This window comes from Homo sapiens, chromosome 21 (genome assembly GCF_000001405.40).
Source record: "Homo sapiens chromosome 21, GRCh38.p14 Primary Assembly".
In the NCBI taxonomy this organism is placed as follows: Eukaryota; Metazoa; Chordata; class Mammalia; order Primates; family Hominidae; genus Homo; species Homo sapiens.
This window is the reverse complement of record NC_000021.9, coordinates 33,974,394-33,986,417: the sequence shown is the minus strand read 5'-3', so window position 1 is coordinate 33,986,417 and position 12,024 is coordinate 33,974,394. Positions and strand designations below refer to the sequence as shown.

General features: G+C 47.8%; 2 long non-coding RNA genes across 4 annotated transcripts in view, besides 3 other annotated features; both read right to left on the bottom strand.

Moving 5' to 3' along the window:
- LOC105372790 (uncharacterized) overlaps window positions 1-3,582 on the bottom strand; it is a 69,113-nt gene extending 65,531 nt beyond the window's left edge. For 2 of the 3 annotated variants that reach the window (XR_937681.3, XR_937680.3), the window contains exons 1-2: window positions 2,545-3,582; window positions 1,889-2,051 (exon numbers count right to left, since the gene is read on the bottom strand). This is a non-coding gene — a long non-coding RNA (uncharacterized LOC105372790). Of the gene's footprint in view, window positions 1-1,458; window positions 1,689-1,888; window positions 2,052-2,544 lie in introns of those variants that run through there. The other variant, XR_937682.3, reaches the window with a different exon arrangement.
- Window positions 2,192-2,361: an enhancer, noted in NCBI's record as "active region_18388". NCBI's record gives its function as "activates an Ori minimal core promoter by ATAC-STARR-seq in GM12878 lymphoblastoid cells {active_cell/tissue: GM12878}" and the evidence as "EXISTENCE:reporter gene assay evidence [ECO:0000049][PMID:35858748]".
- Window positions 3,583-8,726: 5,144 nt separating the features above from the next.
- Window positions 8,727-10,036, bottom strand: LOC101928126 (uncharacterized). Its single transcript, NR_134561.1, has 2 exons — window positions 9,867-10,036; window positions 8,727-9,690 (listed from the first exon to the last, which is right to left on the bottom strand). It is a non-coding gene; the product is annotated as an uncharacterized LOC101928126 (long non-coding RNA).
- Window positions 9,340-10,539: an enhancer, noted in NCBI's record as "P300/CBP strongly-dependent group 1 enhancer chr21:35348180-35349379 (GRCh37/hg19 assembly coordinates)". NCBI's record gives its function as "activates an origin of replication core promoter dependent on BRD2, BRD4, P300/CBP, MED14 and CDK7 cofactors, with strong dependence on P300/CBP, by STARR-seq in HCT116 cells {active_cell/tissue: HCT116}" and the evidence as "EXISTENCE:reporter gene assay evidence [ECO:0000049][PMID:35650434]".
- Window positions 9,739-10,268: an enhancer, noted in NCBI's record as "active region_18387". NCBI's record gives its function as "activates an Ori minimal core promoter by ATAC-STARR-seq in GM12878 lymphoblastoid cells {active_cell/tissue: GM12878}" and the evidence as "EXISTENCE:reporter gene assay evidence [ECO:0000049][PMID:35858748]".

The window sequence follows — 12,024 nt, the reverse complement described above, 5'->3', positions numbered from 1 at the left end:
GCAGGAAAATGCTTTGGCAGCTCTGAATGGCCCCGGGCAATTGCCACTTCTGTCTTGAGGGCCAAGGGACAAGTCTCTGCTTACCTTTGCACTCCTCCTAATTCTGAACACCTGACCTGCTCCACATCCTGGGCACCTTGATCTCAGAGTGGAAAGCCCCAGAAGGCAGGGAGCCCCAGAAGCAGGGAGCATGTACACCTGCTGTGATGGGGTGAATTGCGGCCCCCACCACCCAAATTCATCCTTTGAAGTTCTAACCCTCAGTACCTCTGAATGTGGCTTTATGTGGAAACAGGGTCGTTGCAGAGAAAAGTTAAGAAGAGATGGTATAGGAGTAGGGTGGGCCCCCAATCCAGTCTGACTGGTGTCCTTATAAAAAGGGGAAATGTGGACACAGACACACACGGGGAGAGCACCCCGGGTGAAGATGAAGGCAGAGATCTGGGCGATGCTTCTAGAAGCCAAGGAACGCCCAGGGTGGCCAGCACCCCCAGCGGAAGCCAGGGAGGGCCTGGGACAGCGCCTCCCTCACAGCCTCAGAGGAACCCGCCCTGCCGCCACCTCCATCTGGGACACGTGGCTTCCGGAACTGTGAGGCAGGACATCTCTGTAGGCGCAGCATGCTTCATGGTGCTTTGTTACGGCAGCTGTGGTAAACTGTGACAGCCTGGGATTTACTGAATTTGCCAGGCAAGGAACTGGAGCTGCGAACCCTGGGAAATGCTGGTTCAGGCTGTTCCTCAGGGGCCTCCACTCCCTGAGGAGCTCGGAACACAGGCTTGCAGGGTGTGAGGTGTGGGGTGTGGTGTGTGGTGTGTGTGTACATGGTGTGAGGAGGGTGTGTGTGATGTGTGTGTGGTGTGTGTGTGTGGTGTGTGTGTGTGTTGTGGTGTATGTGGGTGGTGTGGTATAGTGTAGTGTGAAGTGTGTGGGTGGTGTGTGTGTGGTGTGGTATGTGTGCGTGGTGTTGTGTGGATGATGTGTGGTATGTGTAGTGTGTGGTGTGGGTGGTGTGGTGTGTGTGTGCGGTGTGGTGTGTGTGGTGTGTCGTGTGGTGTGGGTGGTGTGGGTGGTGTGTTGTGGTGTGTGTGTGTGGTGTTATGTGGTGTGTGTGTGGTGTGTATGTGTAGTGTGATGTGTGGGTGTGGTGTGACATAGTGTAATGTGTGGGTAGTGTGGTATGGATGTGTAGTGTGTGTGTTGTATGGTGTGGTGTGTGTTGTGTGTGTGTGGTGTGGTTTGTGTGGTGTGTCATTTGTGGTGTGGTGTGGGTGGTGTGTTGTGTGGTGTGTGTGGTGTGGTGTGTGTGTGGTATGTGTGTGGTATGTGTGGTGTGGTGTGTGTTGGGGGGCAGCGTGGTCAGGAGCAGGAGTGGTTCTGAGACACACAGCTCCCCCTCCTGCCCCGTCTCCACCCCATTCCCCGCAGGGCCCCATCAAACCCAGCTACTTGCCTTTCCCTTCCCGTCAGCCTGGAGCAGACTGGAAGAGGAGGAGAGGAGAAAAGAAGAAAAGCACGAAAGTACGAATCCTTCCTAGGTTCTTCTCCACGTCCTTTTCCTCCCCTTCCTTCCTGCTCCCCCAAGCCAGTGCCAAATGTCAACCGGGAGCATCAAGTTGACCTGACATTTTCTGAACTGGCAGTTCCCTTCTGGGCCGTGCAGCACAAATAGACATCTTCTGCATTGGCTGAAAACAAAGTTGGAAAGACCAGACTACATTAAAAAAAAAGAAGAAGAGAAGAAGAAGAAAAGAAAAGGTAAAAACAGATGACACTGCCCCTCCTACTATTTATGCCCCTCCCCAGATTGCTGTCTCCAAATACAAAATGCCGCCTGGAATCCCGGCCAGTGCTCCAGCACAGCCTCAGAGACCAGAACAGAAGTTACCTGAAAACGAAGGGCACGCCTGTTTCAGATCTGAGCTGGCACTAGGATGTATCCTTCGCCTCTGGAATCTGGAGCCCGCACCGACTCCACAGGCGGGGCAGAGGCCAAAAGTCAGGCCTGGAGGCTGATTTCTAAGCAGACAGCCCAGCTCTCAGCAGAACACCTAGGGAAGGGCGGCGAAAATTATGCAGCCTCACGTGCCACGCCAGCCTGGCTCATGCACTTGCATATTTTGGGCCTTCCCTCAGCTGATGGGGACTGCTTGCACGGAATGACCTGGCGCCCCTGGGCCAGGGACAACTTTGTTTTCGAAAACATTGTTTCCTGTAACAGCTCATGAAGAACTGAAAACCTCACAGATGGAATGCCCCCAGACGCCAGAAACTCTGCACACCATCTCCCAGTCAAAGATGATGATTCTCCTGACATTATAGTCTCCTCAACCTCTTCCTGTGACAGGTACCCGTCCCCAAAGTGGTTCAGGCCAGGCCTGCACTTCCAGAATGAATGGTGTTCTTCAAAGGACATCCCCCCATGAAGGGCAAGAGGGTTACTTGGTCATCCAAGGCAACTGTGGTAAATGGCAAGGTGACTCCAGGTTGTCACAGCGATAAAAATGCTGCCACGTGAAAGAGGGTGCCCAGGTAGAGACTCACCTAATCCATCACAGTGATCCAGAGACACGGCTCCACTGGGGTTTTATCCCATGTAAGAGGAGAGGGAACAGGGATGGGTGCCCCAGGTCACACCAGCAGACTGAGGGATCCTTTGACTCCCCATTTTTTCCAGCACTCCAGAATATTGAGAATAAATGACACATTTACTGAGACCATTCATTCAAGGTGGTTGCATGCAAATGAAGTTATTGTGGCTTACATGTGTGAGTTATTACGAGTTCAAGGCCATGTGTCTGAATATAAGCTGGGATGCCTTTTCTTCTCACCTAGGAGACAATAGAATGTTCCATGAGGATCAAAGAGCCATGAGGGCCAGGCCAATGTGGGAGAAGGAGTGTGGAGAGAGGTGTCTGGGAAAAGAGAAAATCGGCAGTACCACTAGGCGCATTAGAATAGAGTAAGGAGCTGCCAGAAGACGTGAGCTGGGAGTGGACAGCCCCCACAGGTGCAACGTCTCAGCCAGCAGCACCAGGCAAGAGATGGTGAGGAAGAAGGAGTTGATTCAGATCAAGTCCAGGAACCAATGGGAACTGTCTCCAGGCTGGCCAGAGCAATCCTCTGCTTCCACGACTGCCTGAGAGAGTCCAGTCACTGCACACTCATGTCCTCACTGCAGGATCAACACTGTGGCTCTGGAAGACCTGACTGAATGAGTATCCTTGGTGACCTCCCAGGAGAAGTCACTGAGGGGATCAGAGTGCGTAACCCACTGGCTGCACCCAGGGCCTCTGACCAAACAGGAAAGATGGAGAGCAAGCAGTTGGCTGGCCCAGGACACTCAGGCCAGATGCAGGAAGGGTTGTTGCATTTAATAAAAATGAGTGTTAAATCATGATCTGGGAGAAATTGGAAGCTTCATCACCACTGGTGGGAATGCAAAATGATGCAGGTGCAGCCACCATGGAAAACAGTTCGGTGGTTCATCAAGTTAAGCACAGAATTACCGCTTGACCCAGCAATTCCACTCCTAGGTATATACCAAAAAGAACTGAAAGCAGATGTTCAAACAAAAATGTATGCAGAATGTTCATTATAGTTCATAGCAGCACAATTCATAATAGCCAGAAGATGGAAACAACCCAAATGTTCATCAATAAATGAATAAACAAAATATGGCAAACCCACACAACTGAACACTATTCAGCCGTAAGAAGAAATGAAATACTGATACATGCTACAACGTGGGTGAACCCGAGAGCATTATGCTGACAGAAAGAAGCCAGACACAAAAGGCCACATGTTGTATGACTCCACTATATGAAATAGCCAAAATAGGGCCAGGAGTGATGGCTCACGCCTGTAATCCCAAAACTTTGGGAAGCTGAGGCGGGCGGATCACTTGAGGCCAGGAGTTTGAGACCAGCCTGGGCAACATGGTGAAACCCTGTCTCTACTAAAAAAAAAAAAAAATAGAAAATAAAAATTAGTCGCACATGGTGGCAGGCACCTGTAATCCCTGCTATTCAGGAGGCTGAGGCAGGAGAATCACTTGAACCCAGGAGGTGGAGGTTGCAGTGAGCCGAGATCACGCCACTGCACTCCAGCCTGGGTGACACAGTGAGACACTCCATCTTTAAAAAGAGAAGAGAACAGAAGAGAAGAGATCCAAAATAGGCAAATCTATACAGACAGACACAGATTCATGGTAGCCAGGAACGGGAGAAGGGTGAAGAGCCAGGGAGAGGCTGCTAATGAGTATAGATATTCTATTTGGGATGATGAGCAAATTCTGGAACTAGAGTATACTTAAAACCATGGAATTGGACACTTTGAAATGGTTAAATTGGCAGAGGGCCCCCCATCCCTCCGCCAAAAAAGATATCCAGCAATTTTCCTCCTTCCTAAGTTCACAGACTTTGATTTATTTGAAAAGAAACTTGATCCACAACAGATTAAAAGCAAAGTTTCAAGCTTTTAGTCATTCTCTGATATCAGATTTGCGTCATCTGGAAGCGACATTATGTTTGGAGACTCTGCTCTGAGAAGCTGGTCCTGAAGGAGGACAATGTCTGGCCATCCTCATCCAAGTCGCTGTCCAGTAATACCCCTTAGCTTTGCAGAGGACTTGCGAGACCTTTGCAAGACCTCACTTTTCACTTCTCATCCCCGCTTCTACATTGTGACAGACGGACGGGGCTATGGTTATTTCCTTAATACAGAGGAAGAAGCTGAGGTTCTTGGGGATGAGGGCCAGTTGAAGGTCATCACAGCCTGAGGGAAGCAGCATCTAGACTCTGTCCAGTGCTGCTTTCCCCCATGAGCACCTCCCTGGTTTTGACCTATCATCTCAGGCTAAAAACCTCAGAATCTTTGGCAGAGAACCACTGTGAAGCTCCACAGTGGGTTGCCTGAGCGCAGTAGTTACATCAGAGAGACGTATTCTTTCTCCAATTCTGCCCCTAGGGAGGCAGCTGGCCTGCCTGCAGGCAGCAGGGAGTGGTGAGGAAATGAAGTAAAACTCAGGGTCTTAACACCAATACTAGAGGTTTTTTTCTCTTTTTATTTCTTTCCCCAGGATTAGTCACCGGGCCATATCCTTTTATCGCAAGAACCCAAATACTCTTAGATTCAACCACGTGAAATCTGCATGTGTGTGGAAGTATAGTGAGTAGAATTTTGTCCCTCAAAAAGATATGTTGAAGTCCTAGTCCCCATACGTGTGACGATGGCTTTATTTGGAAACAGCGTCTTTATCAATGCAATCACATTAATATGAAGTCATACCAGATTAGGGTGGGCCCTGATCCAATGACTAACATCCTTATAAGAAGAGCGACATTTGGACATAGAGACATGGAAGCGACCCAGGGATGAAGGCACGTGGTGACCGAAGCAGAGACTGGAATGATGCAGCTGTAAGCCAAGGAATGCCAAGGAGTGCAGGCAGCCGCTAGAAACCAGGAGCTTTTCCTAGAGCTGTCTTTGGGAGCATGGCCCTGCTGTCACCTTGATTGATTGAAAGAATAATACCCTCTAGAACTGCGAGAGAATCCATTTCCATTGTTTTAAGTCACTCAGTTTGTAGTAAATAGCTCCTGTAGCCCCAGGAAATTACTAATATAGTAAGGGCAAGACTGTTGGATGCTGGTCCTTTCACATGCCACCATCTCACAGTGGGTCAGGAGCCTGTTATGGGTTGCTCAACTTCAGCCATCCACAAGATGCACAGCTGGCCCCAGGGGAAGAGGCAAGCAGCCTTGGCTTGCTGGGCCCCTGGGCTTTGTTGCTCATGGAGCAGGCACCATCTTGGCATCCTTGACGCACAGCAACGGTTACTGGCTCTTGACAGGCCCTGGACAGACCTCAGTCCATGCACTTCTCTCTTCTCTCATGACTCACTCTGCTAGCCAAGAGTTTGGCAAACAGCTTCTACAAAGGGAAGTACATTCACCTTTGTGGGCCACGTGGTCTCTGCCATGACCTCTGAACCCTGCTGCTGTAGTGTGGAAGCAGCCGTAACAATACCTAAATGAGTGAGCATGCTATGTTCCTATAAAACTTTATTTGTGGACATTGAAACTTGAATTTCATATAATTTTCGTGTGCCACAAAATGGTATTCTTGAAAAATTTTTTTCAAATATTCAAATATGTGAAAACCATTCTTAGCTTGCCAAGCAGTACAAAAACAGGCAGCAGTGGCCGGTCACGGTGGCTCATGCCTGTAATCCCAGCACTTTGGGAGGCCGAGGCAGGCGGATCACGAGTTCAGGAGATCCAGACCACAGTGAAACCCCGTCTCTACTAAAAATACAAAAAATTAGCTGGGCGTGGTGGCAGGCAACTGTAGTCCCAGCTACTCGGGAGGCTGAGGCAGGAGAATGGCGTGAACCCGGGAGGCGGAGCTTGTAGTGAGCTGAGATTGTGCCACTGCACTCCAGCCTGGGTGACAGAGTGAGACTCCGTCTCCAAAAAAAAAAGAAACAAAAATGTGAAAACCATTCTTAGCTTGCCAAGCGGTACAAAAACAGGCAGTGGTGGCCAGGTGCAGTGGCTCATGCCTGGCCAGCACTTTGGGAGGCCAAGGCAGGTGGATCACCTGAGGTCAGGAGTTTGAGACCAACCTGGCCAACATGGTGAAACCCATCTCTATTAAAAGCACTAAAATTAGCCGGGCGTGATGGTGGACACCTGTAATCCCAGCTACTCGGGGGGCTGAGGCAAGAGAATCGCTTGAACCCGGGAGGCAGAGGTTGCAGTGAGTCAAGGTCGTGCCTGGGCAACAAGAGCGAAACTGTCTAGGGGGAAAAAAAGTCAGGCAGCAGCCCTGTGGCTATAAATGCTAAATATATCAGATGATCCACAAATTCCTGTCTCCAACTCAGGTGTCTTCTGAGCTTCAAATAACTCCATCTATGTCCACTTGGATGTAGAATGTGTATTAGGTTTTTCAAACGTAACATATTCTAAATACCACTTTTGCTCTCCCTCCCCACCTATACCTATCCCATCCCTGTGGTTTTCAAACATTAGTATACCCCATCTCAGAATTTAAATAACCAATCAGGCCAGGTGCATGGCTCACACCTATAATCCCAGCACTTTGGGAGGCTGAGGCAGGTGGATCACCTGAGGTCAGGAGTTTGAGACCAGCCTGGCCAACATGATGAAACCCCGTCTCTACTAAAAATACAAAAATTAGCCGGGCTTGGTGGCAAATGCCTGTAATCCCAGCTACTAGGGAGGCTGAGATGCGACAATCACTTCAGAAGGCACCAGAAACTCTGCACACCATTTCCCAGTCAAAGATGATGATTCTCGTGACATTATTGTCTCCTCAACCTCTTCCTGTGGGCAGGTACCCGTCCCCAAAGGCGGTTGGATCCAGGCCTGCATTTTCAGAATTAATGGTGCAAGGAGGCAGAGGTTGCAGTGAGCAGAGATCGTGTCACTGCACTCCAGCCTGGGTGACAGAACGAGACTCCATCTCAAAAATTAAAAATAAATAAATAAATCAAAAACAGAATCTCCACATGATTCAGTAATTCCATTTCTGGGTATATATCCAAAACAATTAAAAGCAGGGTCACAAAGAGATAATCGTATACCCATATTTACAGCAATATTATTCACTATAGCAACCCAAGTGTCCATCCACAGGTGAACAGATAAGCTAAATGTAGTCTATGCGTACAATGGAATATTACACAATGTTAAGAAGGAAGGAAAATCTGACACATGCTACAACATGGATGAATATTAAGGACATTATGCAAAGTGAAATAAGTCTGTCACAAAAGGACACACACTGTGTGATTCCACTTAGATGAGATACCCCAAGTACTAACATTTACAGAGACAGAAAGAAAAATGGCGGTTGCCATGAACGAGAGGGAAGAGGAAATGCGAACTGTTGAAATGGCATAGAGTTTTAATTTTGCAAGATGCAGAGAGTTCTGGAGACGGGTTGAACAATGATGTAAATGTATTTAACACTACTGAACTGCATACTTAAAATGGTAAAGGTAGTACATTTTATGGTTTATATTTTATTTTTGTATTTTATATTTTGTATTTTGCCACAATCTTTTCCAAAAATCCAATTCCCTCCTCGTTCTCTGTGCCCCTCTGTGATCCGGCCCTGCCTCCATCTCTGACCTCATTTTCTATGCCGCCTCCTCTACTCCCTCAGCTCCAGCCATTCTGGCTTTCTGGCTAACACCCGTTAAAGCGTTTAACACCCACTAAGGCATTTCCACCTGGAATCTTCTTCCTCCAGAGAGTCTCGTGACTTACCCTTCCACTCCCACAGGATCTGCTCAAGGAGACCTTCCCTCACCACCCTTTCTAGAATGGCAGTCACCCTGACTTTGTTCCTTTTTGCCACACTTCCTAACTTGACATTAGGTTGTTTGTTTATTTAGAGACAGGGTCTCGCTCTGTGGCCCAGGCTGGAGTGCAGTGGTGTGATCACAGCTCACTGCAGCCTCAACCTCCCAGGCTCAAGTGATAAACCCGCCTCAGCCTCCCGAGGCCTCTGGTCCCGAGGGACCAGAGACTCATGCCATCACCCCCAGCTAATTTTTTGATTTTTTTGTAGAGACAGGGTCTTGGTTGCCCAGGCTTATCTTGAACTCCCGAGTTAAAGCAATCCTCCCATCGTCACCTCCCAAAGTGCTAGGATTCCAGGAGTGAGCCATCACACCAGGCTGACATTATAGGTGCAATTGTCTGCTTGTTTATTCTTTCTTCTTGTGAGAGCAGGAGTTTTTGTCTGCTTAGCTTACCACATAGCTCCTGGCACACAGTAGGTGCTCAATAAATACACTGTCTGTGCAATGAGCTGCTGAGAGAATAAATGTGAGCCCTGCAATACAATCTCACATAGAAAGACAAGGGTGGGGGACCCCAGGGACTTCAAATCACCCTCTTACTGCTCAGTAAATGCAACTTTTTCCCTGGACAATAAAGAATGGAATTGTATATGTAAAATACTGAGAGCTCTTAGAGAAAATAGTTACAAAATTCGTAGCAACCCGCACACAGCAAAGCTCAATATTCATGGAATGCAGATCTTTAGTACTGGCATGATTTTAAAATTCAAACATAAGCTGTTTTTCCACGTTCTTTAACCACAAATAAGGCTGCTGGTCTGGGGTCAGGATACCATGGAGTCAGGAGGACTCCTGGGTGACTAGTGCCACCACTCACTTGCAGTGTGACCTTGGGGAAGCCACTGTTCCCTCGCTGGGCCTCCGTTTTCTTTCCAGTCCTAATTAAGGACCAGGTTGCTTCCCATGGGTCACTTCCGACTTGAACATTTTTGCAACTTCAGAAAGTTATAGTTCATTCATTCTTCAAGATTTCTGAGAATTTAAGTTCATCTGAAACTGCTCATTGGTAAGTTTCCTTTTTTTGTCCTTCCATCAATTGGCAATGCAATACAGAAAAACAATTCTACCCAGGAGTAAAACCACAATGATTCATGTCATGTCAAACCCAAATGCAATGGGGAGGGGAGGGAATAGGGATATTTACTCATTCTTGGAATAAGAAGGAGTTTGAACTCAAAACTGCATTATTCACGGTAACATCATTCATCGTGACAAGCTGCTGTGTTTTTCATGAGGTTGTAAGATGTAATTGCTCAGGCATTCAGATGGTATTAGAACGAGGGAGTGTCATCCTATCAATAAAAACAGAACAAACTCTGTCTTTGGGGAGGCCAAGAGTGGGGCTTAAGGGAAGGGCACAGCGAGGGAGACAGAGGCTGGGGCAACAAGCACTGGGGCGGGGGGTGGGGTGGGTGCTGCAGTTCCCCACGCCTAGCCCGCCCTTCCTACAAGCCTGCCCTGGACTCACCATCAGCTGAAATGAAGCAGGAAGTGGAGCAGGGGATCTGTGGGCCCCACAAGCTCAGAGGAAGGAGGGCAGCAGGGACTTTCAGTGCGTGGCTATAGGAAATTTACCAAGTGGAACAGGAGACTCCGAAGAGTTCATGTGCTTTTCCGAAGAAGTGTCCAAAGGCACTTAGGCCAAAAATAGATGAATAGATGAGTGAGTGAGTGAGTGAGTGTACGTGTGTGTACGTGTGTCAGTTCTGGTAATCTACAAAGACAAGACTGGCTTTCCCCAACTTAATCCTCCCACCAACCCCCACACCCCCTTCCGTTCTTGCATGTCTGAGCCTGTCTGTCTGGCAGAGGGAGAGGTGGACCCAGCAGCCTCTGGGGAGAACTAGAAAGGAAGATAAAATAAGGCTAGGAAGTTTGGCCACCCCTGCTCCCCCGAAAAAAGCTGCTATCATCAAAGGGGAAGGGCCATTACACTGATAGTCTACTCTGGCCTCTGTGACCAGAATTTGTTCTTGTGGAATGTAGCCGGAGAATCTACAAGTGAAAACGCAAGGCGTTGTTTTCACCAAGATATAAAAAGCTGTGGCGCCAGCAGCATAGGTGCCCACCACTGCCACTGCTCATCCACCCCACCCCACTGTCACTCATGCACAGATGGCCCTGTGGCCTCGTTTCCTGAGAACCCCAGAGGATGCAGAATCACTCTAGCCCTCTGAAAACTCCTTAGCGCCTTAGCACTGTGAGCAAGAGTGGCATTAGTCATTTGAGGAAGTGGTGGTGACCAGCAAGAGACAACCTTCATTGAAGGCAAAAATGAGGTGATTTCACACTGTTCTGCAGAGAGCAGAGGCCTCTCCCTGAATGCAAATGTTACCATGACAGGAGACAAACACATGGCAGTTCACTGGGTGATAGTGAACAGGTGTGCCTTTGGGTATTCCCAGAAATAACTGGAGTTGGACATATTCAAAGACAACCAACTAAACATCCAGGAAAACATGACGCCATGAGTAGGGCTAGCAGACAAAAGAAACAGACTCACAGAGGTTTCAGATATTCAACTCACTATACACAGACTAAAACAATTCTAGCTACTCTTTTCAAAGAAATAGTCAACAAGTTTGCAAATTCTAACCAGGAACTGGAAACTATAAGAAGTGTCACAGAAGAACTTCTAGAGGTGAAAAGTACAATAACTAAAAATTAAAGAGCATATAAGTCGCTTTAACCACACTTTGAACACAGCTGAATAATTCATATACCAAAATTAAAGCAGAAGAAACACTGAGATTACAGTATAAGGAGACAGAAAGATTAAAAACCAGATGAGAGGGTAATAGAGTACACAGTGAGTCAACCTAACATGCATTTGATGGCGGTATCAAAAGAAGTAAAAGGAGGGAAGGCCCAGAAGAAAATATTTTAATAGGCTGGGAGTGGTGGCTCATGCCTGTAATTCCAGCACTTTGGGAGGACAAGGCGGGTGGATTACCTGAGTTCAGGAGTTCAAGACCAGCCTGGCCCACATGGTGAAACCCCATCTCTACTACAATTACAAAAATTAGCTGGGTGTGGTGGCGGGCACCTGTAATCCCAGCTACTAGGGAGGCTGAGGCAGGTGAATCGCTTGAACCAGGGAGGTGGAGGTTGCAGTAAGCCAAGATCACACCGTTGCACTCCAGCCTGGGCAACAAGAGCGAAACTCCATCTCAAAAAAAAAAAAGAAAGAAAGAAAATATTTTAATATATAATGATGGAAGAAGGAAGGAGGGCGGGAGGAAGGGAAAAAAGAAGGAAAGAGGGAGGAAGGGAGGATGGGAGAAAAGGAGGAAGACAAGGGAGAAAGGGAGGAAGAGAAGGGAGGAAGGGAGGGAGGAAGGAAAGGAAGAAGGGGGATGGGGTGGGAGGAAGGGAGGGAGGGAACGGAAACTTTTAAAGCAGCCTTAGGAAGAAAGAGATCACCTTTAGAGAAGCCATAAATAAACAGTCAACTGACTTTTTTTTAAAGCCACAATGGAATCCAAAAGAAAAGCCTAGATCCTCTACCCATGGAAAATATCCCTCAAGAGGGAAGATGAAATATAGACATTTGCGACAACAAGAAAAACCTACAAATAAAACTCCAAGAGCATTCACCACTAGCAGATCATCATCTTTTAAAAGGA